At 41.2% G+C, this 25,844-nt stretch overlaps 2 long non-coding RNA genes across 2 annotated transcripts in view; both read right to left on the bottom strand.

The window, feature by feature from the left end:
* Positions 1-25,844, bottom strand: part of LOC101928475 (uncharacterized) — a 37,472-nt gene that overhangs the window by 4,931 nt on the left and 6,697 nt on the right. The window lies entirely within an intron of this gene.
* Positions 15,389-16,371, bottom strand: CDRT7 (CMT1A duplicated region transcript 7). The gene is made up of 3 exons (NR_033371.1): positions 16,245-16,371; positions 15,854-16,130; positions 15,389-15,751 (listed from the first exon to the last, which is right to left on the bottom strand). It is a non-coding gene; the product is annotated as a CMT1A duplicated region transcript 7 (long non-coding RNA).

Below are 25,844 nucleotides of genomic sequence, written 5' to 3'. Positions count from 1 at the left end.
GTATTACACTGTTTTGTCAAATGACAAAGATTCTCACACTGGAATAAAACAATCAAATAAAAAAATACTAAATTATATGTTATTTTTAAGAGATCCATCTAAAATATGATACAGAAAAGTTGAAAGTAGTGGCATGAAAAAAGATACAGTGGGCAAAAAAGAAAAGAAAGCTGATATAGTGACCTTAATATCAGACAAAATCAACTGTATTAGAGATAAGGGGAATCTTTTCTTACAGATAAACACAAGTCACTTGGAAGTTCTAACAGTCTTGAATCAGACAGCCGAAAAATGTGTAACGCAAAAATTTCCTGAATACGAAGTGAATCCAACATTATAGTGGAATTTTGAACACATCTCTATGAGTTACTGAAAAATGGAGATAAATATTTTCTAAGGATATAAATGTTTTACATAACGCATTCATAAAGCTTAATATGATGAACATATTTAGAATGTCCACCCAATATAAAAGAATCCATTTCCAATAAAAAAGCATCTTCATATTTTAAGTAAAGAACACTTATAAACATTGTCCATATACTTGATTACAAAGTCTAAATAAGTATCAAGAAAACAATATAACCCAAACTATGTCTTCTAACAAAGATGAAGTAAGATTATAAATTAATGACTAAAAGATAATTTTAAGAAATTCTATTCACTATTAAGTTAAAAATACTTCTAAATAATTGATGGGTTAAAAATAATTCAAATTGATAGTTACAAAATATTAAGAACAATAGAAATTGCAGACAGTTCATACCACAACTTGTACAGTTAAACTGATATTTATAGGGACATTTATTACCCTAAATACTGTCAATGCTTATATTAAGAAAAACAGGCCAGGTGCAGTGGCTCACGCTTGTAATCTCAGCACTTTGGGAGGCCGAGGCAGGTGGATCACGAGGTCAGGAGATCGAGACCATCCTGGTTAACACAGTGAAACCCCATCTCTACTTAAAATACAAAAAATTAGCTGGGCGTGGTGGCGGGCACCTGCAGTCCCAGCTACTCGGGAGGCTGAGGCAGGAGAATGGCGTGAACCCAGGAGGCGGGGCTTGCAGTGAGCCAAGATGGTGCTACTGCACTCCAGCCTGGGCGACAGAGCAAGACTCCATCTCAAAAAAAAAAAAAAAAAAAAAAAAAGACTAAAAATTAACCAATTAAGCATTTGTCCCAAGAAGTTGAAAAAGCAATAGTGATTAATAGAGGCTAAGAAGGGGATGAAAAGAAGTTGGTTAATGCATACTAAAATACAGTTAGATATAAGGAATAAGTTCTAGTATTTGATGGTACAGTAGGGAGATAATACTTAATAATATATTTCAAAATAGCTAGAAGAGCAGAATTGGAAAGTTCGCAACACAAAGAAACAATAAATATAAATGTTTGAGGTTATTGATGTCTCAATTACCTGATTTGATCATTAAACATTGTACACATGTATCAAAATATCATATGTACCCCTAAAATATGCACGACTGTTATGTATCAATAAAAATAGTATTCATAAACAAAAAACAAAAAGAAGTTGGAAAAACAATAAAAGCACAAGCTCTCTAAAAGTAAATAAAAAGCAATAATAAAGATAAAAGCATAAATGAATCAACTAGAAAAACTTACAGAGGTTAATAAAACAATGTAAATGGTGTTAATAAATATGAACCCATAGACAAATGAACATATTTGAATAAAAATAACTATAGTTATTTCCTCAAGAAAATAAGAGAAAGCCTGAATATACCCATAACGTGCAAAGCCATTAAATTAGTATCCAGGTTCTGTTAAAAATAACAAACATCTAACTGAAATAAAGAGCCAAAAATAGGCAAGTCATCTTTTAAGAATAATAAAGAAAAGCTTGTCTTGAAAGAGAGAGACCAATGGAACAGAATTATAGAATTAAGCATTGAGAAACAGCTGATACAGGACAGAGAAGGCACTCCAGATTTGTGAGGAAGGGATGAACTGTTCACCAAAGGATGCTGGGGTAATTAACTTTGCTGATGGAAAAGAGTAAAGGTAGATTCCCTCTGGCAATGTCTGGCCTGGAAGGTGGGATTTGTGGCTGGGGTGTAGAACGTTTAGCTGTATCTATAATATTTCATTTCTTTAAAACAGTATCTAAAATTATATAAATAAATATGGCAGAATGGTAATGTTTGTGAAATCCAAATCATTATACATTGGGGTCTGTAATATTTTCTTTGTACTTAATTGTATGTGGAAATGTGTGTGCCTATACATTATATATTTATTTGTAGAATGAATATACTATATAATAAATATGTATGTGTAATGCATTCTTTTTTTTTTTTTTTTTTGAGACGGAGTTTCGTGCTTGTTGCCCAGGCTGGAGTGCAAGGGCGCGATCTCAGCTCACTGTAACCTCTGCCTCTTGGTTTCAAGCGATTCTCCTGTCTCAGCCTCCCGAGTAGCTGGGATTACAGGTGCCCCCCACCACACCTGGCTAATTTTGTATTTTTAGTAGAGATGGGGTTTCACTATGCTGGTCAAGCCAGTCTTGAACTCCTGACCTCATGTAATCCTCCTGCCTCGGCCTGCCAAAGTGCTGGGATTATGTTGCATGAGCCACCACGCCTGGCCGATGCATTCGTTTTTTAAGCCAGCAATTGTAAGTAGGAGACAAAAAAGACCTTTTATGTTATGCTGAGGAGTTTGGACTTCATCCTCAGGGCAGCGGGGAGCCACGAAGGGCTTTTAGACAGGAAGGTAAATGACTGCATCATCTCGTAGGAAAGATCTTCCTGGCTGCAGTATGGCAAATGGATTAGATGCAGTATGGCAAATGGATTAGATGCTGGAGGTGCAGCCATCACTGAAGTAGCTGTATTTCAGGGTAAAGATTATGGTGCCTGGAACAGGGAAAACAGCAGCGATGATGGAGACAGGTGGGTTGACTGGAGAGGGGGTAAAAAGAATTTCCAGGCTTTGTGTTTTCTTGGTGGGTGTGGAGAGGTGGGGAAGAGTCTGGGCTCCTCCCTGGGTCTGGGCCTCAGGACGCTGGGTACCTACCATTCCCTGAGAGAGGCTAGAGGAGCAGGAAGAGTTGACTGAGTGAAAACTGGAATTGAAATTTGAATATACTTTGTTAGAAGTGTCCTACTGCATCCAAGTGTAGGGTTATTAGGTAGGTATTCTTTTTTTTCTTTCTTTCTTTCTTTTGAGACAGGTCTCACTCTGTTGGCCAGGCTGGAGTGCAGTGGCGTGATCTTGGCTCACTGCAACCTCTGCCTCCCAAGTTCAAGCGATTCTCCTGCTTCAGCCTCCCAAGTAGCTGGGATTACCAGGCGCGTAGCACCACACATGGCTAATTTTTGTATTTTGAGTAGAGACGGGGTTTCACTATGTTGGCCAGGCTGGTCTCGAACTCCTGACCTCAGGTGATCTGCCTGCCTCGGCCTCCCAAAGTGCTGGGATTACAGGCATGAGCCATTGCGCCCGACCCGGGTAGGTATTCTTTTTTTTTTTTTTTTTTTTTTTGAGACGGAGTCTGGCTCTGTCACCCAGGCTGGAGTGCAGTGGCACCATCTCGGCTCACTGCAAGCTCTGCCTCCCGGGTTCACGGCATTCTCCTGCCTCAGCCTCCGGAGTAGCTGGGACTACAGGCACCCGCCACCAAGCCCGGCTAATTTTTTGTATATTTAGTAGAGATGGGGTTTCACCACGTTAGCCAGGATGGTCTCCATCTCCTGACCTCATGATCCACCGGCCTCGGCCTCCCAAAGTTCTGGGATTACAGGCGTGAGCCACTGCGCCCGGCCCCAGGTAGGTATTCATGATGATGGAACCCTGTTTTAACTAAAGCTTGTCTTAGAATTGTAGTAATCTAGCATGGCTTGAGTCTTCATCTGTAATCTAGAAATTTTTTATTTGTAATTCACTACTGTCAAGTAACAAACTCTCTTTCACTAGCTTAGAACCTTCAAAAAATATAACAAATCAGAAATTAACTTTTGAATAAAATATAACCATAGGGTACTTCTTTAATTATTTAACAAATTTAATGTCTTGTCTGATTTTCTTCTAATTTGCCTGTCATCAGTTTAATGATGTTACATGTCTAAAATGCTGTATAAATGTAAAAATTACTATATCTTAACAAAATTATACATGAAAAGGTTAATTTGACCCAACGAATGATAAACACATGCTAATTCAACAGGTTAGAAGAAGGTTTCACCAGTTACTCTTATTGATACAATGATTACTCAGGCCAACTCATATTTTAGTTTTTCTTTTCGAAGTTATTTCTCTGATATTGAGGAGACACTGTAATTTTAAACCAAGAGGGACTATAAAGAGGTGTAATTCATCATTGCCCAAGCTATCCTCAGTGGACATCTTCAAGATGTTAACAGATGTTCCATTAAAAAAATTTAAAGGGTAATGTGGCAAAGTAAGTTTGGGCAATGATAAACCTTCCTCCCTCTGAAAAATCTGTCTGTGAAGAAAGATGTTTTATTCTGTTTGATGTGGAATAATTACATCTCCCATCTCACAACATTCTTTTCCATGGAATACCACAGTAACACTCTGTGGAAGGCCTGAATGGTACCCTGGCACACTAATACTCCACAGGATGCAGAGGTAAGTTAATCTCACAGATGAGGACAGGAAGGCGAGGTGTACTTCTGTGTGCCTTCTCCAGGTTATGGTGTTGGCCCAAGCTAAGCCAAAGCAAAGATTCAGGCCTCCTGGACCCCCGATTCAATAACCTTCTACTGCATAGACAGTAGCATTGTCCGTTTTGACAAATAGCACGGGTGGTGTTGAGTTCCTTTCTTTCTTACATGTTTACATTTCCTTCATTGAGGGAAAGGGAGAATGACTCAGACTCAGCAGGGGCCAAAGCTCCCTGGACCCCAGCTTGCCCCCTCCCACACCCACAGTCCAGGGCTGAGGCTTTTCTGAGCTCCCTGCGTGGAAGGTGGGGAACCCATAGGTGAGGAGCCCACACCGTGTGCTGGGGAGTTCCAGGGGTTCCTGGAGGATCATGGTTACTCTCCTGAGGGCACAGGACATGGAGCAGGGAGAAGGGCTGAATAAGACCCAGATCCAGGTTTGAGATGAAATGTAGAACTGCCATGGAGGTTGTGCACTGCACAGCTGTACACAGTGGTGTGAGAACACCAGGAATTCCAGCTCCCTAGCCGGTGGGACTGGGGATGGTGAAGAAACAGCAGAGAAAACAACCAAGTTCAAAATTGTATGCTCCAGAGCCAGTTAATGCAATAAAAATAAGGGCCATAACTTCGAAGCATTTAGTGAAAGACTGTCCCCATTTAATATTTCAACATCAAAATCACCTTTGGAATAGGTATTTTCACCCCTATTTCACACTTAAGAAAACTGAGGTCCCAAATGATATGCTCTCAGTGTTTTTTTTTTTAACTCTCTCATATCTTATATATTCCATATTGTATTTTTCCACATATTATCTAGTCATAGTAACTATCACTCATTGAGCACTTGCCTTGTGCCAGAAAGAGCGTTATACACTTTGCGTGTATTAGTTCATTTGCTCCCTACAACTACTCTGTAAGGAAAGTACTGATAGTGTTTGCATTTTCAACGTGAGCAAACTGAGGCCCAGAGAGGCTGGCAGCTTACCTAAGATCAAACAGGCAGTAATGGAAGAGCCAAGAATTTAATTCAAACCCCAACACTTATGCAGTGGACTCACATGGCATGGCAATCCAGGCATGGGGAAGCTCCCAGACTTTGCTTATTAACACAAAAATGGAAAATGACTTCATTCAACTGGGACAAGTCATAGGTTGGCATGGTAGGCAGGGGTAAGGTAAGGAGAGGCGTTCACCCTGTCTCCTGTAAACTTGCTTTTTAGTTTGCTCACTTAAAAATGAATTGTTGCTGGATGCGGTGGCTCATGCCTGTAATCCCAGCACTTTGGGAGACCGAGACGGGTGGATCACGAGGTCAGGAGATTGAGACCATCCTGGCTAACACGGTGAAACCCCATCTCTACTAAAAATGCAAAAACAAAATTAGCCGGGTGTGGCGGCGGGCACCTGTAGTCCCAGCTACTCGGGAGGCTGAGGCGGGAGAATTGCGTGAACCCAGGAGGTGGAGCTTGCAGTGAGCCAAGATCACACCACTGCACTCCAGCCTGGGCGACAGAGCAAGACCCCATCTCAAAAAAAAAAAAAAAAAAAGGAATTGTTGACTTTCCTGTTTGAATTGAAGTCAGCAACTACCTTCTCCTTTGTGTCTGCAGTTGGAGGCGGTGGGCTTTCCCGGGATTCCCCAGAGAGCTAATTCATTGCAACATCAGACGGAAGTATGGACTTGGCGAGAGGTTGAAATCTAAATGCAATTTCTTTTTTCTTTACTTTTCTCAATACTCTTCTAATATTTTTTTTAAATTCGAATTTAGCTGCAGACATTGCCAGTTTGCAGAAGCAAGTGTTGGCTGTGATCGTGTCTTTTCTTTGTGTGACACATTCATTAGAAACAAGGGACAACTGGCTGCTGGAAGCAAGGCTATCGTTTATCTTAACAAGTAGGACTCACTAGTACTACTTGTGGTGCAAGTAGGAAATGTGGATGCCTTTTCTTTACCTGATAAAGCGTTTTGCTTCATTTGCTTTTAAAAACTCCTCTCTTTTAGCTCCTATCCATATCTCCTCCTAGCCCAAACCATAAGGCAGCTGCAGAGAACTAACCCTAGAAGATTCCCTTTCTAGTCTAGAATGGGCGTCCCGGTTCAACAGCCACTTTATCCACATAAAGGCAGCATCTAATGTCCAAAGGTGCTCATTGTCTGTGGCTATCTTATTCAAGTTCCTACATGTTGAAGGTGCATAGGGAAACAAAGTGTATTACAAGAATATCCACCAATGTATTAACCATGCATGAAATCAGTCCCTATTTCAACACCCCTCCCAGTTTAACTTTAGGAATGGATCTGTTGCCCTACTTATTGGATATTGATTTCTTGCATGGTTAATACATGCATGAAATGGTTAATGTAGTCATATACACTACAAATGTGTTTTGAAGCAAAGTTGCAAAATTTGCAAAATATCCAGGACTTTATCAAGTGAATGGAGAACTCCCAGAATCAAGCAAAGCCACTGATACGTGAGGATCTAAAATATTTAAACCAGTTAACAACCGAAGAAATGAAAACAAGCAAGGATAATATCATGGAAGGACTTCATAAGAGAATGATTTAAATATGAATCCATTTGAAAAGGCAGGTCATTGAGAACATTGATGAAGCCCTTGAATATGTTTGCAAAAAAAAAATGAGCAACTCTTTTAAAAATCATGTGCAAAAGTTAAGCATTGGGTGAGGAAGTCTTGGCACGCTACCTTTCAGCTTTTTAAGGGGAAATTTTACCTCCCTAAACCTACAAATCAAAATTTGATTTATTCTTTGTTCTAATAATTAAATCATTGTAATTTTAAACTAAATTGTTAAATATAGAATAACATTAATTAGTTTATTTTTCTATTGACTACATGAGTTTAGTCTCTGTTAAGTGGGTTCATGGCTAGTAGCCTGATTGTAGGGTCTAAACCCCTCAGATAATGAGATATCAGGAAGGGGTGTGATGCCTAGAGAAGTCTGTGGACTTGTGGCAGGGTAGATATGGGAACAGAGGGGATACCATCTTCATACATAGGCGCTGACAAAGCAGTCAGCCTACTTCCTGATATCTCTGCTATTCTGGTGGATTCATGGAAATTTAACTCCAGGTGCTTTCCCTGGGAGCTGCTGAGATGACAAACTCAGGAATGTGTAAGTCAAATTGACTCATGTCATCACATATCCACAGGGCCTGGTACTAGCCCTATCCTGGCAGGGACCCTATTACTATCCTTGAGCTCACCAGAAGAATGCAGTCCTCAGAAGGTGATCTCAGTTATTTTGTGGAGAAGGACAATACAGCTTTTTGAAGAAGGAAGAATCCTATTTTTCTATAGATAGAATCCAAATTTTAAATCTATTTCATTATCAACTTGGAAATCAAAGATAACATATAAAGGGTATATTGAAATTTTTTTCTGTTTTCCTTCTTTCCTCCGTCTATTCCTTCCACCCTCCCTGTCTTCCTTTCTTCCCTCCCTTCCCCCCATCTCTTTCTCTCCTTCCTTCTTTTCTTCCTTCTTTCAGATCAAATGGCACAATGACCACAAGATTATGCTAGTCTTCCAAAGGTTAATAAAGAAGTCCTTAAAGGTTGACTTGACATCAGTTTTCAAAATATTTAGGGGACTGTTCATGGAGAGTATGTTCACACCAGTAAATAAGTGGACTTATTCTTATTTTCCAATGAGATAAGAGCACACAAAAAAAGAGCACCAGTGACTTAGAGTTGCTGAAAAAGAAATGTCTCAATAATGACTCATGCTCCTTAATGAAGAGTAAACGAGGAACTAATAGTGCTGGCATTCATACAGTTCTTTTGAATTCACAAATTGCTTCCACATTCACTTCTGTTGTAAACCTATTCCAATCCCATGAGGCGGGACAGGCGGAAATGTTCAGCCATTTGACACACATGGCAGGGGCACACGGGACACAGGAGACTCAGGCTGCCTGTGTGGTGTTGTGTGCCCGACTGCCTGCAGGGTACTCCCAGGTGTGACTCTCTGTCCTCCCAGAAGATCAGGGTTTCCCAATTTCACTAAAGACTGCCCTTTGCCAATGCTGAAATCCTTGTTCTGAATATCGCCTGGTCTTTGCAAGAAGATCCTGGCTGGGTATTTCCTTGTAGCCCATGTGTACCAAGTAACCCTGTGTATGATGGGATTAGTGGTTTCCTGGGTTCCCCCAGCTGAGGCAGGCAGGGTAATCTGAGTAGAAGTACATCTCCTGATTCAGAGAGAAGTCTAAAGGAGCTTCAAGTTCCCAAATATCCTTACTGAATGGGGTGCAGTCCAACCCTTTCCATCACTCCAGCAGGACCTCAACTCCCTGCCAGCCCTAAGGATTTGTAAGTCTACAGATTTACACGGGGGCCACAGGGAAGGACAGACATGCAGAAATGGGATGTGCACTCCTCCTGTGCTTTCAATGCCTAGAAACCGGAATTCTGATTCTGTGACTGAACCAAATGCAATCATTCTGAGCCAGAGTAGGGGGAATGCAAACATCCTACAGCTCAGTTTTCTGGGTGTCTGAGCAAGAGAGAAAGGGAGGGCTCTTCTTTCATAGCACCTGTAGGTGAAGATGACTTGAGAGGTTTTTGAAAAAGTATGGAAGTGATTATCTCAACCAAGAGAATGCTGGAGGAACCACATCCTGGTTTTCTGTTAGGAGCAAGGAGAGACTAAAACAGTCCAAAATTAGCCGTAGATTGTCCCTCCATAACCACCCCAACTAAAGACACTACAGTTTGATTTTATTTATTTTTATTTGTTTTTTTTTTTTATCTTTAAAGATAAGGTCTTGCTATGTTGCCCAGGCTGGTCTTAAACTCCTGGCCTCATGTGATCTTACTGCCTTGGACTCTTAGAGTGCTGGGAGTATGGGTATAAGTCACCACGTCTGGCCTACAGTTTGACTTTAGATTCATGTTAAGATCTTTCAGCTTAAGTAAATTCAAATTTCCTACGACATTTGCTATACTTCTTATGCTGGTCATTTATCTTCATATTTGCTTTCAAATCATTTTTTTGACACTTCCCTTGCTCTGCTCTGTATTGCAGCTATATTTAATGACAGATGTTGAAGAGAGATTGGAGGGTGGCAAGCAGGTAGAAACCAGAGTCTTTTTCCATCTTTGCAGCTCCACAGGCAGTGTGTCTGTGTTTTCCTTCACGCTCCAGCTTTGTTCCAGTTTCTGCAGGACCTGAGCTTTAGTAATACCACCTTCTTTGTCCCTCCAGACAGAGATTGTAGTGGCTTCCTGCAGTTGTATCTCAGGTCTTCCACTACCTCTATGACAAATCCCTTGATTGAATTCCTACTATTCGAATATACAGAGTAGTTTCTTTTTCCCCAGTGAAGCAGCTCGGAGTCCCTGAGTAAGAAGTGGCAGCCAAATGTGATAACTAACGAAGAATCATTTTATAGGCATTGAGACTAAGAAAAAAAGAATTGTTTTCTTTTCTAAAACTTACAGATGGAAGATGACTGCCAGCCTTCTGTAGATGTGAATTCCTGCAGAATAAATGTACTGGGTCGTCATGGATGACCTAGAAAGGAAGGAGCTTCATAAACTCCTCTTGAGTATTTGAAATGAAATAGAAGTCATAACCTCAACGCTATTCTTAGATTACTGGTGGAAACACAAATTCAGAAAAGAATATACCCTATGTCTACCCCACGTGTACTTATCTAGAAAAACTTTTTTCTCATTAGTGTTAGGAAACAAAAACTGGTGCACTAACCACTTTGGTGAGAAGGTTCAGAGATCACAGAAGTTTGTGTAACAGCTCGGGGAGGCATATATAGAGAAGGAAGTAGAGGAGATAAAAATCTTATCACCTAGCCAGGTAAAAAGAGACAAAAAGAGCAGTGGCCAACCAGGATCGTGTGCCTTGGGGGATCTAATATCAGGAAGTATATATACCTGAGTTCAACAGCTACTCTTGTTGAAAATGGGGAAGGATTCACCGAAAAAGGCTGCAGACTTCCATAGGGAGGGAGATACAACTCCAAGAGAAAAAAAAACGGAGAAAGAAAGACTAGGGAAAAGGAAATGAGGCGAGTCTTCTTTTCTTGTTAATGTAGCTGTAGAAGATGGCGCCATTTCTGGCATGGCTCGGTAAATTCCCACTGGACTGATCCTCCTGAACATCTTCACTATAGCTTTTAGAAAAATTACAGAAAGCGGTTCACTGAAGTAACTGCCAAAATAGCTGATTCGGAAGGGGAGTTGGCACTTGGAGGAAGGAAATGGCACCCGGTGAGTTTCCAAGGCTTCTAGCTTGTGAGTAGGCTAGATCAGTGTCATGCAGATTGACTAAATTCCAAGAGAAAACCCAGTCTCTCTGGCCTCAAAAATCAGAGAACAGAATTTGTGACAACTACTGCCACTAGAAAGGACGAGGGGTGGCACATGGAATTCAAGAAAAGAGAGAGCCAGAGAGAAGTCGTCCAAATTTCACACATAAACTCTGCCCATATCTCCGGCTAACCCCCTCAACTAGATATGTATGACTGACTCAATGCGGCTTAAGTATTAAAGAACTGAACTGAGATTTGAGATGCTACCCAAGAGACATAATTTGCAACTTGAGCAACCAAGTATATTGCCTGTTGAAATGGACAATTTACATACTTTGGAATAATATAACACTCCAGAGTCACCACAACATAAAATTCACAACATCCAGGATATAATTACAAATTACTCAATACATAAAGAAACAAGAAAATTTAATCGATTCTTAAGAGAAAACACAGCAATGAGCCCAACCTTAAGAGAACTCAGAAGGTGGGATTCTCAGAAGAGGATTTTAAAGCAGTTATAACTATGCTCAATGCTGACATACAAATAATCAATAAACAGAAAGGAAATCTCAGCAGACAAATAGAAACTATTAATAAAAACCACAAGTTAAATTCTAGAACCAGAAATACAATACCTGAAATTAAAAAAAAAAATCACTGGATGGACTTAATGTAAGTGAATGAGGAGAGCGTCAGTGACTGTAAAGATACATTAATAGAAATTCCAGTCTGAAAAATAAAAGGAGAAAAAGATTAAAAAATAAAAATGGTGGCTCAGTGACCCACAGACAATATCATAAGGTTTAACCTACACGTGACTGGAATCCCGGAAGAAGAGAAGAGGGAGATAATGGGGCAGAAAAAAAATATTTAAAAAACTAGGCCAGGCGCGGTGGCTCACGCCTGTAATCCTGGCGCTTTGGGAGGCCGAAGCAGGCGGATCACGAGGTCAGGAGATCGAGACCATCCTGGCTAACACGGTGAAACCCCATCTCTACTAAAAATACAAAAAAATTAGCCAGGCGTTGTGGTGGGTGCTTGTAGTCCCAGCTACTCGGGAGGCTAAGGCGGGAGAATGGCGTGAAGCCGGGAGGCGGAGGTTGCAGTGAGCCGAGGCTGCGCCACTGCACTCCACTGGGCGACAGAGTGAGACTCCGTCTCAAAAAAAAAAAAAAAAACAAAAACATAAAACAAAAACTAATGGTTGATAATTTCCCAAATTGGTTAAAAGACATAAATTTACAGACTCAAAAAATCAGTAAACATCAACCAGGATAACTATACTTACAGAAAAAGTCATAGAAACAGAGGTAAATGAATATTCTATCTCTCTCTTTTTTTTTTTTTTTGAGACATAGTCTTACTCTGTCGCCCAGGGCTGGAGTGCAATGTCGCGATATACCCCCACTGCAACCTCCGCCTCGCCTCCAAGTTCAAGCAATTCTGCCTCAGCCTCTTGAGTAGCTGGGATTACAGGTACTCGCCACCACGCCCGGCTAATTTTTGTATTTGTAGTAGAGACGGGATTTCGCCATGTTTGTCAGGCTGGTCTTGAACTCCTGACCTCGTGATCCAGCCATGTTGGCCTCCCAAAGTGCTGGGATTACAGGAGTGAGCCACTGTGCCCAACCTAATGCATACTCTTGAGGACAAGAAAGAGAGGAAAGAACCTTTTTTTGTTTTGTTTTTGTTTTTTGAGTCACAGTCTCGCTTTGTCGCCCAGGCTGGAGTGCAGTGGTGCGATCTCGGCTCACTGCAGGCTCCGCCTCTCTGGTTCACTCCATTCTCCTGCCTCAGCCTCCTGAGTAGCTGGGACTACAGGCGCCCGGCTAATTTTTGTACTTTTAACAGAGACGAGGTTTCACCATGTTGGCCAGGCTGGTCTCGAACTCTGGACCTCAGGTGATTTGCCTACCTCGGCCTCCCAAAATGCTGGGATTACAGGCGTGAGCCACCGCGCCTGGCCTGGGGGACCTATTTTAACTTCAGCATCCCAGTCTTCTCCTTGTGAAGTGAAGAAATTGGGGCCCAGGGGAGTCGCACTCAGAGCTGTGCTGCTCTTTCTAGACTCCACTTCAGACACTGGGGTATTAGGTTCCCTAAGCAAATGGCCTCAACCCCATTTCCAAAGACTGCGAGGGCCTCTTTTCCAGGTCTGTTTGGCAGAGTGATCCAAGGAGCTGCTATTAAGAGGCGTGCTGGGGAAAGAGCGTGAACAGGACTTGGGCATGTGGGTTGAGAAGCTACACACAAACGTGGGGTGGGAACCTCATTTGTATTCTTTCTCTGGGTCACACAAATATTAGGGACAGACATGCATGGAGCATATTTGCTATCATCTCAGGGGAGTGAAGGGAAGTTACAGAGAAGCTCGGTAACTTGTTTAAAGTCAAAGTAGGAGGCAGATGTGGAATTTGTATACATTGCTAGCCTCAAATCTTGGGATTTTTTAAAAAATCAATTCTACTCTTTCATTTAACAATTATTCTTATTCTCCCCCCCCCCACCGCTGCTTTGAAGTAGCTAACAGTTGTGTAAGCACATGCATTGTGTAAGGCACAATGGTGGCTGCAGTCATCTTTGTGATCATTGTGGTGTGCCATCCAGACCCCCTTTCATTAAAATACCTATTGCTGCAGCTGCTGAGCTTGTTGTCAGCACCCAGCATCCAGCTGTTAGCCCTTCCAGATTGCCTCAGCTGCAGAAGGACCCCTCACCCAAATACATGACCCCATCCCTGGTAGAGTTCACACCCAGTGACTGGTAGATGCAGGATGCAGGCCTGGTGATCTCAGCCTTACTAGGACAATGCTAAGTTTGCTCCGGAGCTCCCCATAGGGTAGGCTGAGGCTGTCATTTGGATTTGGACTTCATTGTCATGAATTTGCTCACAGTTTCCTTCTGACCATTCCTGCTTTTTTCCCCTTCCTTCTACAGAACTTGATACCAAAGATGTTCTTTAATAAATATTCTGCATGCTAACCTATATCTCGGAGTCTGCTTTCTGGAAAATCCAACTACAATAGTGATCCTTACATAAGATGCAGATAGACTAGTTTCTGTTCCTAGTACCTTAGTGGGGAAAGTAGGGCATGAATCTAAGTTACAACAGTATTAGATAAGTGTAGTAAGAAGTAGGGGATGTGGAATCACTCTGTAAGGCACGATTACCATATTAGGGATGCCAATCCCTTCTTCCATGCCCTTACACCTCCTCTTTAGAGAGTCTGATCTTTCCACGTCCCTGGAAGGAACAGTCAAAGGTGCCATGTAGTCATGTACCTTCTTTCACAGTTGACTTGTCACGGAGTGGACATCACCCCCAGGGGAAAACAACCCATTGGCTTGGTTTGGCTATTAGCTTTTCCTCCAAGACATTTGAAATTGAGACATAGTGAGAACCTACTCTGTTTCCACTGGACTCTGGAATCGATGAAACAAATAAACCACCAGATATATGCAAAATCCAGAGAGCGGATGAGAAGAGAGCAACAACAATGAAACATATATGAATAGAGAAGCAGACAAGTGAGAACGGGGTGCTTCAGAGATGGACAGAGTAACTTCCATTCCTGATTTTCTGGTTTCTCTTACTCCAATTTCATATGAGACCTGGCTGCATTTTATGCCTTAGGTTCTGTGAGTTAGCCCTGTATTTTTTTTATTAAATACATTTAGCTTTTTTTGGCGAAAAAAGTCTGTTTCTTGTGATAATATTGGAGTAAGACAATCATAAGGGGGAGGGATTTGAATTGGGAATTGCTGGAAACGAGATTTCAATATGGGAAGATGAAAGGATCTTGGAATTCAAGGCAAGGAGAACATCACACACAAAGGTGCTGAAACACATACTTGTTGGACATATTTGGCGGATGATGAATGAGCCAGCTTGGTCAACATGGGTTGAACAGAAAGCAAAATAACAGGATAAATGCTTGTAAGACTGACGGGAAAACTTTGATTAATCGATGGAGCTGGCCTGGATTTTAAAAATCTGTTTATTCTTTTTAGGAATTCCCAAAGGCTATAGAAGACAGAGAATAAGGGTAAAAAACAGTAAAAGTTGGCTGTTGGAAGAAGTGAAAAAATAAAAATAGGGCAATGGTGTCTTACATGCAGCAGGGTAATAAGAGATGAATGAAAATCGGCAGTGAAATAAAAGGAATCAGTGGGGTACTAGCAGGGAATTTGGGCTTCCTGCTGAGTGATAGAGGGGAATAGGCTGTTTCTTAGGCATAACATTACATTTGCCACATGTGGCTGCACAGGCTGGGCCCTGCCGGCTCCAAGGAAGGACTCCCCCTTACAAAGACTTCAAAGTGAATCGTGCCCCTGGGCTTCTGCAATAGGGGTGGCCTTGCTCCTAAGTCATAACTCTGTGTATCCCCACAACATCTTTCAATTGATGGCCATAAAAATCCCAATTCAAACTGGTTTTAAAACAGGGACTTTATTGGCTCATTTAACTGAAGAGTGAAGAGGCATACGGGCTTTGGGGGTGGATTCAGAAGTCCACACCCTCAGCGCTCTGACTCCAGACCTCTTTGATCCTTTCAGAGCATCTCTTCTCTGTGTGTCAACTCTGTCCTCTGGTTAGGTCCTTTGATGGCCAAAATGGCTTTAGTAGTCTCACATCCAATTTCTTTATAACTCTCCCTACACAAAAGAATAGACTCTTCTTCCATGGTTTCTCCAAACCCTGATTAAATATCTCCTCACGTCTCATGGACCTAAATTAGGTCTTGTTCATCCAGGTAGTGTACAGATGAATGTCTAGCAATGCTCTCTCCCTGTCTGTCTCTCTCAAAAAAGAAAAAGAGGTAAAAATGAAAAAAAAAAAAAAAAAAAAAAACCCTGACATGCAGCGTTTGATTTTTATGGCATAAACTCTCTCACCATGGCTGATTTCAAACTACCAATGCGATGTCCCTGGACCCAGCGTGCGGTAGAGGGGCCTGCAGTGGACTCTCTGAAGCCCCTGGGAGCTGGCTCCAGCAGTCGGCTAGGTCTGTCCCTGAACCAATTCCTGTGAATAGGTAGATAAGCCCTGCTGATTGGCTTAGGAAAATCAAAGGTGGCTGATGAAGCTTGTTGGGGTTAGTTCCATTCTTCCACATGTAAGGTAGGGATGGAGAAAGTGGATAACAGTTGGCCAATTGTGAAATGTCTGGTACTGTTGAAGTGAATGCAGGAAGATGAGGAAGAAAGGTAAACTATTAGAGAGAGGAAGGCAGATAATGGAGTGAGATGTGGAAAAGGAGTCAAAGATAATGATTGGGTGGCTTACCCAGAGCACGAAGCATGGGGGACAATGAAGAGGAGCGAAGTTAAGGAGTAAGGAGAGATTGACTACAGTATTCATCTTTGCACTAAACTATTCATCCAAGCTCTCTACAGTTTGGCCCCAGTTCATTTTCCACGTCTATTTGGGAGGCCGTATAGTGTCATGGGGACTAGTCTCATGATCTTGGCTGAGTTTGGGAAGCAATTCTGAACCTCTGCTCTCCTCAGAGCTTCATGGGGGTGTTGTGAAGATTAACTCAGCCTACGAGAAGGTGTAGGGCATAATGGCCATGAATGAAGTCTCTGGGGCTGGGCTGCCTCACTCAAACTCCAGTTCCAGCAGTTATTGTCTATGGGACCTTGGGCAAGTTGATTAAAATCTGCACCCCAGGTTTTGCATCTGTAAAATGGAGACTACCATAGTATTTTTCTCTAAGGTTGTTATGAGAATCATATGAGTTACTTATAGCTTATAGAGTTAAAGTGATTATATATATATATATATAATTTACTTATAACTTACAGAGTTAAAGTGGTTTTATATATATATTACATAATTTACTTATAACTTATAGAGTTAAAGTGGTTATATATCTATTATATAATTTACTTATAACTTATAGAGTTAAAGTGGTTATATATATATATAAAGTGGTTATTATAACTTATAGAGGTAAAGTGGTTATTACAAAAAGTACCTGGAAAATGACAAGTACTGTTCAGAAGTGACAGCAATAGTTGTGTATTTAGCAGAATGTTAGGCAAATAGGAGATACTAGATAGTCATTAGCTACACTTATTATTATGACCACCTGCTACTGCCTTAGCCAGTATTTTGTTTTGTTTTTAGAAACGAAGTCTCACTCTGTCACCTAGGCTGGAGTGCGGTGGTGCAATCACTGCTCACTGCAACCTTGCATTCCTGGACTCAGGGTGTCCTCTCCCCTCAGCCTCCTGAGTAGCCAGGACTACAGATCTGCAACACCTTGCGTGATACCCAGATTTTATGCTCTAGCCAATGTTCACATTTCCTGCTGTTCACTAGAAAAATGATTGCAGGACTGAGTGGGAAATGCAGACCACATCCATACATTTCTTCTTCTAAACTCTCAAACACTGTGTTTGTAGCTCTGTGGGCACTATTTCAGCTGCACAGTTTTGTTTTCTGTGGACTTTCCTCATTTGCTCACATTCTTGAAGTGAGAGGGTGGCTTGGCCACTGTGGGCAGGGTTTAAATCATATTGGCTTTATTGTGTCACCAAGGAGCTCCTGGATCACTAAGAAAGAGTACATATGCTGATTTCAATGCATTAAACTCATTTTAACATAATCTAAGATATCTTGTTCGTGGGTCTTGGATCTTGGCTTTTTCTACTGTTATATAGGAGAAAAGAATGGGCTTGTGTATCAGGCAGGGTCCCAGCAGGGGGCAGAATTCACCCCAGGTGCTTCAAATGCACCTATTAATGCATAAAAGCCTAATGCATTAATAGGTTTTAATACAGGGATGAACTAAAGAGTGGCAGGGCTAAGGAAACCAACCAAGGGTGACAAGGCACCCAGAGAATAGTAACAGTGGGAAGTGTTACTTCCCTAAGTGATGAAGCAGGACACTGTGTTTTCAGAGCCCAGGGAAGGTGGAGTCCCGGAGCAGGAGCCACCAAGTTAGAGCTGTTGTCACCGTGACGCCCAGCTTCTCTAAGAAACATGGACCTAAGGTAGGGAGGGGAGAAGAGTAAAGGCTTGCCTTGCCTGCTCCTTTTTCTCACACTCAGATCTTCTGCCAGGGCCACCCATTGGCTGAACTCAACCAGGAACCTGCCATCAAGGAAGCCTGGGGGACTCAGTCCTCAGAGGTCAGCCTGCTGGGGCAGGGGACAGGACCGAGAATAGAGAATGGATAACATGAATTTTAAAAATATATTTTCTATGTTACTGTATATCCAAAAGAGTATCATTTCAACATGTCAATGATATAAAAATTATGATGTTGATGATTTGCATTCTTCTTTTTTTGTACTAAGTCTTCAAATCTAGTGTGTATTTTATTCTCCTAGTGTATTTGAATTCAGACCAGCCACATTTCTGGGGCTTAATAGCCATCTGTGTCCAGGGGCTATTACCTTGGAAAGTGCAGTTCTATAGTTCTAGTCTGTTATCAGTATCTTTGGACGTAAACATGGAAACAAAAAAAAAATGTCAATACAATAAAATGACACCTTAGTGAAGAATAATTGTAAAATATTATGCCATTAAAGTCTTCAGGAAATCTAAGCCCACATTCTAGGATTTAGAGTGCTTATTAACAGAGCTGATGAATGATTAAAAAGTCTTTTTCTCCTTGTAAAAACACGCTTTCTTTTCATCAAACAGAGCAAAAGGAACCAACAACGCAATATGCAGATTATTTATGAATCTCTCAACTTTGAGAACCAGATGTAATACAAGTCTGCTATGTGTAAAAACTAAATCAGTGTTAAACACATGTATCAAAAGTATGTGCCTATAATAGGATCTGTTTTCAAACACTCACTGAATGTATACCACATGTAAAGGAGCTTTATCGCCATGACCAGAAAATGTCACTACTTTCTACTCAGAATTTTTCCTTAGAGTAATAAAGCTGGACAGCATTCTTTGTGGAACTTCAGATGACTATGATTTCTTTTTCCATGAGATTAGATTTTGTTATTTCCTAATCTTGTACAATTTCCAGTTTGTGACAACATGGTTCATGTCCTTGCAATTTGGGAATGGTTGCTTGTTTTGGTTTTCCAAATGAGATGGTTTTGTATAAAAAGCTTTTAAACTGTATCTTTAGTTTTCCTGATTTAATTCTCAGCTAGGGAGATTTCTCCTGTTACCTCTGAGTCTCCCAATTTTCTCTTGCTGATGAAGGAGAAAATGTGTACAAATATGCATTTTTCTAAGGATACAGTATGATATTGCTGTATTGCTTTTACGTAAACTTCTCTGACAGCTTTACCTTTTGGAAAGGGAAATGGAGCAAAATTGTATTCTGTCTATTGCTATTAGAAATTGGATTGAAATAGCTCAGTAAGCAATTTTTTGCAACCTGTTGATTATGTGGTCTACTTCTGGCAGGCAAATCCAAGCATATATTAGAATATATTTAGGAACAATGAAAATTATGCCAGCTTAAATCTCTCCTGCCCTTCAGCCTTTTCTCTCTTCTAGAATATTTTATCTTCATTGAACATTCATCTACTTCTGAAAGGATCAGGAAATGCTCGGCTTTCATGCTTTTCTGCCTTCTCTTCAAGAGTGCCAAGTGGCCAAGAAGGACTCTTTTCCCAGAAGTATGTGTGTGCCCATTTGAAAATTCTAGGGCTTCCAAAACCATGTCTGTGACTTGATGTTAGCATTCCGAAGAGTCTTTATTCATGGTTTAAGCACTTGATGAAGAGTCTTCAGAGTAAACTCCTGGCTAAAGATGGATGGCCTGAGGTGATCCAAAGGCCAAATAATTTCCAGACATTTCTTTTGGATGGAAACACATGTCTTTCCCTTGGCATTAATCTCCTTGGGAGATAAACAGGCAGACCCCAACTTATAAATAGACTTTTCAGAAATTTCATTTGAAGGTCAGTTGCTTAGAATGGGTAGTGATTTCTTTCTATAGAAGTAATATTATAAATGGCAGTTAAGGATCAAAGTCAGCCCAAAAATTCTTACTTAACCCAGACCTCGGTTGAAATAGCGCAATGGCAAAGAATGGAAAACACAAGAGCCATACTGTGTGCATCTTGCATCCTTGTAGAAGTGGCATCTCATGGTGATGATGGGCACAGCTTCTGGGGCCACTGACTGTGCTTGAATCCAGGCTTGGACACGCACTTGCTGTGTGACTTTGGGTAGGTCACTTGGCTTCTCAGTTTCTTCATTCATAAAAGGGGCATGATATTAAGATCTATCTCATGGAGCTGTTGTGTGAGAATTTAAATACACACACACACGCGTGCACACACACACACGTGCATTATTAGAACAGTTCCCGGAACTCAGGAAACACCATGTGATTGTTTGCTCTCATTCTTGGTTCTAGTAACTGGCAAGATGCTGGATCTATTTCAGCCACTGTTTCATATTTCAGTGAACAAAGAGCAATACTGAAGGAGTATTAACAACAAAACAACGAGGAAAAAAAGTAGTAGATGGCTTATCCCCACCCGCCACCCCGCCCCATAGCATTACTGTTTAGGGGAAATAAGATGAATTAGAGGAAACAGGAAACAGATAGGTGCTGACATTGAATTATAGGACACTTTCAGTGTTTCCAAAGGTTGACTCTTTTTAAAAAGTTAAGTTTTTTAAAATCATAAACAATTTGGAGAACATAGAAAAGCACAAGAGAGAAAAAGTCTCCATGTTGGAACCCCCAGAAATAGCCTCCAATAACTTTTCATTTTGTCATCTTTTGGTATTTTGTCCTATGCATCTAGACAACTCTCAAAAATAATTTATAATAATTTGATTTAAGCCATCCATATTATTTTCGCACTTGATTTATTCTCTTAGCAACATACAGTAAAATTTTTCTTCATATTCTTATACTGTGTGACTTCTAATGGCCTCATATGTTCCATCATGGACAGAATAAAACTGATACAGACAATCCTCAGTTGATGGACATTTAGGTTGTTTCCCTTTTTATACTATTCTAAATAACGTTGTTATAATTATGCATATGGATAAAAGTTTACTGTTACTCTTTATTCCTTTTAACCAAGAAGTTAAATTTCTAGAAATGTATGCATAAATGTTACTTGTAACCTAAGGCATTTGATATATTTTGCTGAGCTAGCTTTTAGAGTGTTGCAATTCATCTTCTTTTCCGGCAACTCAAATGCAATGTTTTAGGAAGTTTTCTAAATTCTGACACTGAGAATGTATTTAATCTTGCCAATCTGTTAGATGAAAGGGGCATCTCATGATTTTAATTTTCATTTTTTATCTGATGTTGAACATTTTTCATATGTTTATTGTCCATGGGAATTTCTTTTGTCAATTACCTCTGCATGTTCTTTGACCATTTTTCTATTACTGTTCAGTTTTCATTTTTTTCTGTTTCCCTTAAGAAAAACCATTTTTTTCTTCTGTATTCACACAATACAAAAACGTATCTAGAAAGGAAAATAAATTGCACTGTGTGCTCCGGGCGAGACTGTTATTGGAAAGTTAGGTGAGGCCCCCCCAGGGACTGCTCATAGGAGCCTCTGCTGCACTGAGCAGTGAAGCTGAGAGCGGGTGACTCAAAGCAAAGAGGGATCACACGCAGGGTCCAATGGCTGGAACAGGAAGGAAACTCAGGACCCAGCAGTATCGGATATATGGATAGATATTAATTATTATAGGTATGGGAAAATAATTGAAAAATTAAAATAAGAGGAGGATGAATTATTACGTGAAAGATTTTGAAAATATCAGACAAGTTGGGTCAAACAATTCTGCTGCTTTCTGAATGTCAGTTAAGTGGTCTCATTGATGAAGACTATTTTTAATATTTTACGAAATAATAAGAATAATGTAGCCCAAAGACAGTTCACATCCCTACCACTGGAAAACAACAGTAAGAGCAAGCTATAAATAATAAATGTACAATTATTTTCAATTGATTAAATTATGGTTTAACTAAGTAGCAAGAAAAGGACAGGTTCTCAGTTAATTATTAAATTCTCAAAAAATTTAAATTTTATTTACCTAAGATAAAACACTGAACGGTAGGAGTCCCTCTTTGCAAAAGAAATAGAATTACAAGATGCATAATTTGGCAAGAATGGCAGAATGTTGAAAAAGTAAGAACATTGAAAAGGGAAAAAGAAGAAAGTCATATGCAAATATTACACAAAAACACAAATATACGATAGAAGTGGAATGGCAGATATCTTAAAGGGGTGGCGGCATAGATATAATACAATACAAATTACAAGTCATGGCTGGGTGAGTTGGCTCATGCCTGTAATCCCAGCACTTTGGGAGGCCGAGGCGGGCGGATCACGAGGTCAGGAGATCGAGACTATCCTGGCTAACAGGGTGAAACCCTGTCTCTACTAAAAATACAAAAACAAAATTAGTCGGGCATGGTGGCATGTGCCTGTAATCCCAGCTACCCGCGAGGCTGAGGTGGGAGAATGGCGTAATGGCGTGAACCTGAGAGGTGGAGCTTGCAGTGAGCCAAGATCATGCCACTGCACTCCAGCCTGGGCGACAGAGCAAGACTCCGTCAAAAAAAAAAAAAAAAAAAAAAAAATTACAAGTCATTGGTAAAATTCAATATAAAGCTTAGAAGAATTAGAAAAAAAAATCTTGGAGATTCACATGCCAGAAGGTATGGAAATCATATACTTAGGAAACTATACTAATAAAAGGAGCAGATATAATATTCAACACCAATGGAGACAAAAAGCTGGATTCTCGATTAGAAATACCTGTGGGACATGGCTATTTGGGGGTCGGTGGGATGGTAGAAATGCACACAGTTAGAAAAACTTGGAGTCAGAGAAATGTTACCTGCAGCAGCAGCTGCATGATAGGCCCAGATGGGCCCTAATGGGAGTTAGCAGAGGGTGGAGAGTAGCGGGTAACAGGAGAAAGACACTCCGAGTGAGTAAGCAGGGGTCCGTATGACCTAGTGGGAGATGACAGGAATAACTGGACTCAAACCGGTTGTACCCAGGTGATTTGGCAGGAGGTGGTGAGGTAGGGGGTGGGACTGGACTCGAGGTGGGACTCAGACACCGGACCAAATTGAGGACTAGCTAAGACAGAAATGGAGTGGAAGCAGCTTTACATAAGACATGCCCACCAATGTGCTACATCAGTTTACCACTGCCATGGCAACACCTGGAGTTACCGCCCCTTTCCACGGCAATCATTCTTTTGCATAACCACCCCTTAATCGGATGTACATGTAATTAAAAGTGGGTATAAATATGACTGGGAACCGCCCTGAGCTGCTCCTCCCAGCACATTACCTTATGGAGTAGTCCTGCTCTGCAGGAGCAGTCACAGAGCTGTATCACTGCTGGAGCTGTAACACCGCCTCTTCAATAAAGCTGTTTTCTTCCACCCTACCACTGGCTTACCTTTGAATTCTTTCCTGGCCCAAACCAAGAACTTTTGTGGGCTAAGCCCCGCTTTGAGGCTCTCCTGCTGGATATGCAGGGGCACCCAAAAGGGGAAGGCAATAATTGGAGAGCTATAGAGTTGGCACAGGAGTTCAGCTGCTGAAGTGGAATTTACCAAAGGTACATCTTTGGGGGATGGGCAGGAGCTGAGCAGAGCCTCTCTCCTAGGAAGATGAGTACTGGTTAGAACCATGACTCAGGAGAGTCTGTTAACTCATGGATCTGCCTTACCACTTCCTGGGCTGCAAGCTGGGGTCGTGACCGTAGGGCCGTAGGGCTAGCACAGGAGATAAACTACCAGAAGGTAGAGGCCCTGCATTTTGAACGAATGCACCTTTGGTACCCTAAAACCTAAAGTATAATAAAAAATAAAAATAAAAAAATAAACAAAGTAAAAAAAAAGAATTTATAAAACAAAAAACAAAAAACAAAAACAACAACAAAAACACCTCAATTCTGAGGACTGGGATATGGCCAGTGCTGAAGGTAGAGCAAGTTGCAGACCAACAGGCCCAAATGATGGAAAGGGGAATGAATCAAACAGCAAGAAAAAGAAAATGGAAAAGAAATGAAAGGAAATCCATGTTTATACAAGTGTTTGCATTTGGAATAGAAAATAGAGTCTGTAAGAGAAAATAATTGTAGAGTGTTGGGAAAAATTATGAATTTGATATGGTAAAAATCCTTTTTAAAGTGCTTTATTTATCTGGAATTCAGCATGTAGATCTTACTAACCAAATCCAGTCCTTCAAACACCTGAGCTCTAAAAAGAATTCACCATTTGGATTAAAATATCTCTAAAATATCTATTATTTTATCCCTCACTTACACAGAGTCTATTGAACTTTTGGCACAGATTCAGGGTCAGAGTTATAAACATCCCGCACTGCACTGTGGAAGTGCATGCTCTGCCTGCTCCTTGCTTCTCCAGTTCTCTCTCTCGGTGTGGGATTATCAACCATCGTTTCCACCATCAGGGTGCCCCTTCCTATAGAGCTGCTTCTTTCCCCTTTCTCTTCAATTTATTTCTTTGCTATCCAATGAAAAGTTGGATCTTGTCAGAATTCAAATCAATTTAAAGAAGGAAGAGAAATTTAGTGGTTCCACATGAACAAACCCAGAGGAGGAGTAGTAACCTCTGTAACGAGGGAGTTACACACCATCAGGAAACTGCTGGTTTCCCTTCTCTGCTTCCCTGTTCCTGTGGCTACCTCGTCACAGTGCAACACAACTGCATGGTTGACAATATGGCCTCCAGCATGGCAACATCTCCATGTCTGGAGAAGGGAAAAGGCTTCTCTCATTTTTTTTTAGAGATGGGTCTTACTATATTGCCCAGGCTGGCCTGAAACTCCTAGGCTCCAGGAATCTTCCCACTTCAGCCTCCAGAGTAGCTGGAACTGCAGGCACATGCCACTGCACCCAGATACCTCTTCCAATTTAACTAGAAAAAAACTTCCTAGAAAGTGCGCTGATTGGCCAGGCTTAAATCACACATTCATCCCTTGAGCCATGGCAGGGGATGGTGGTGAGGCAGTGTGAATAACTCTGATTGGGTCATTTGTTTACCGCTTGTGGCCAGGGATCAGAACACCTTTTTTTTTTTTTTTTTTTTTGAGACAGAGTCTTGCTCTGTCACCCAGGCTGGAGTGCAGTGGCGCAATCTTGGCTCACTGCAAGCTCCGCCTCCTGGATTCAGGCCATTCTCCTGCCTCAGCCTCCGGAGTAGCTGGGACTACAGGCGCCCGCCACCACGCCCAGCTAATTTTTTGTACTTTTAGTAGAGATGGGGTTTCACTGTTAGCCAGGATGGTCTCGAACTCCTGACCTCACGATCTGCCCGTCTCAGCCTCCCAAAGTGCTGGGATTACAGGCGTCAGCCACTGCCCCCGGCCAGGACATCTTATAAGAAGGGAGGCTATGGTGGAAGAATGATCACCACTGAGAGAATCATTGTGAGCCAGGAGGCAGTCTCAATTTGTGTTCGTTATTACAGACAATCAAACTTGTGAAGAATTTGAGATGATGAAATAAACAAGACAGTAAATGAGGGCACCTAGGATGTGGTGGGAGACATGCAAGGATCTGTAGAAACTGCAGCGTGGATCTGGGTTTGCTTATTCCTAAGTGGCACTGGGTAACAGGAATGTTTCTGTAAGTACCAAATGGAAATACTTTCCTGTAATGCAGAACTTGTGGGATCACTTTCTGTAAAGATTTTAGGACAGGGTTGATACATGCTTGTCAGGAATAGATGAAAAAAAATGCAAGTCTGCAGGAAGCAGGGACAGATGCCCCAAAGTGCACTTTAATCTTTCACATTTACAGAAATAAAAAAGTGGTCTGGGCAAATGTCTCCTTAAGAACCATTTACGACTCTTGTAGGGTTTTACAAGGACACTGCTAAGGTCCCAGTGAAAAGCCTAGCACCAGCCTGAGCCTACTGAAAGAGATC

Source organism: Homo sapiens, chromosome 17 (genome assembly GCF_000001405.40).
Source record: "Homo sapiens chromosome 17, GRCh38.p14 Primary Assembly".
Classification (NCBI taxonomy): domain Eukaryota; kingdom Metazoa; phylum Chordata; class Mammalia; order Primates; family Hominidae; genus Homo; species Homo sapiens.
Note: the sequence above shows the minus strand (reverse complement) of the source record. Positions and strands in the feature narration are given on the sequence as shown.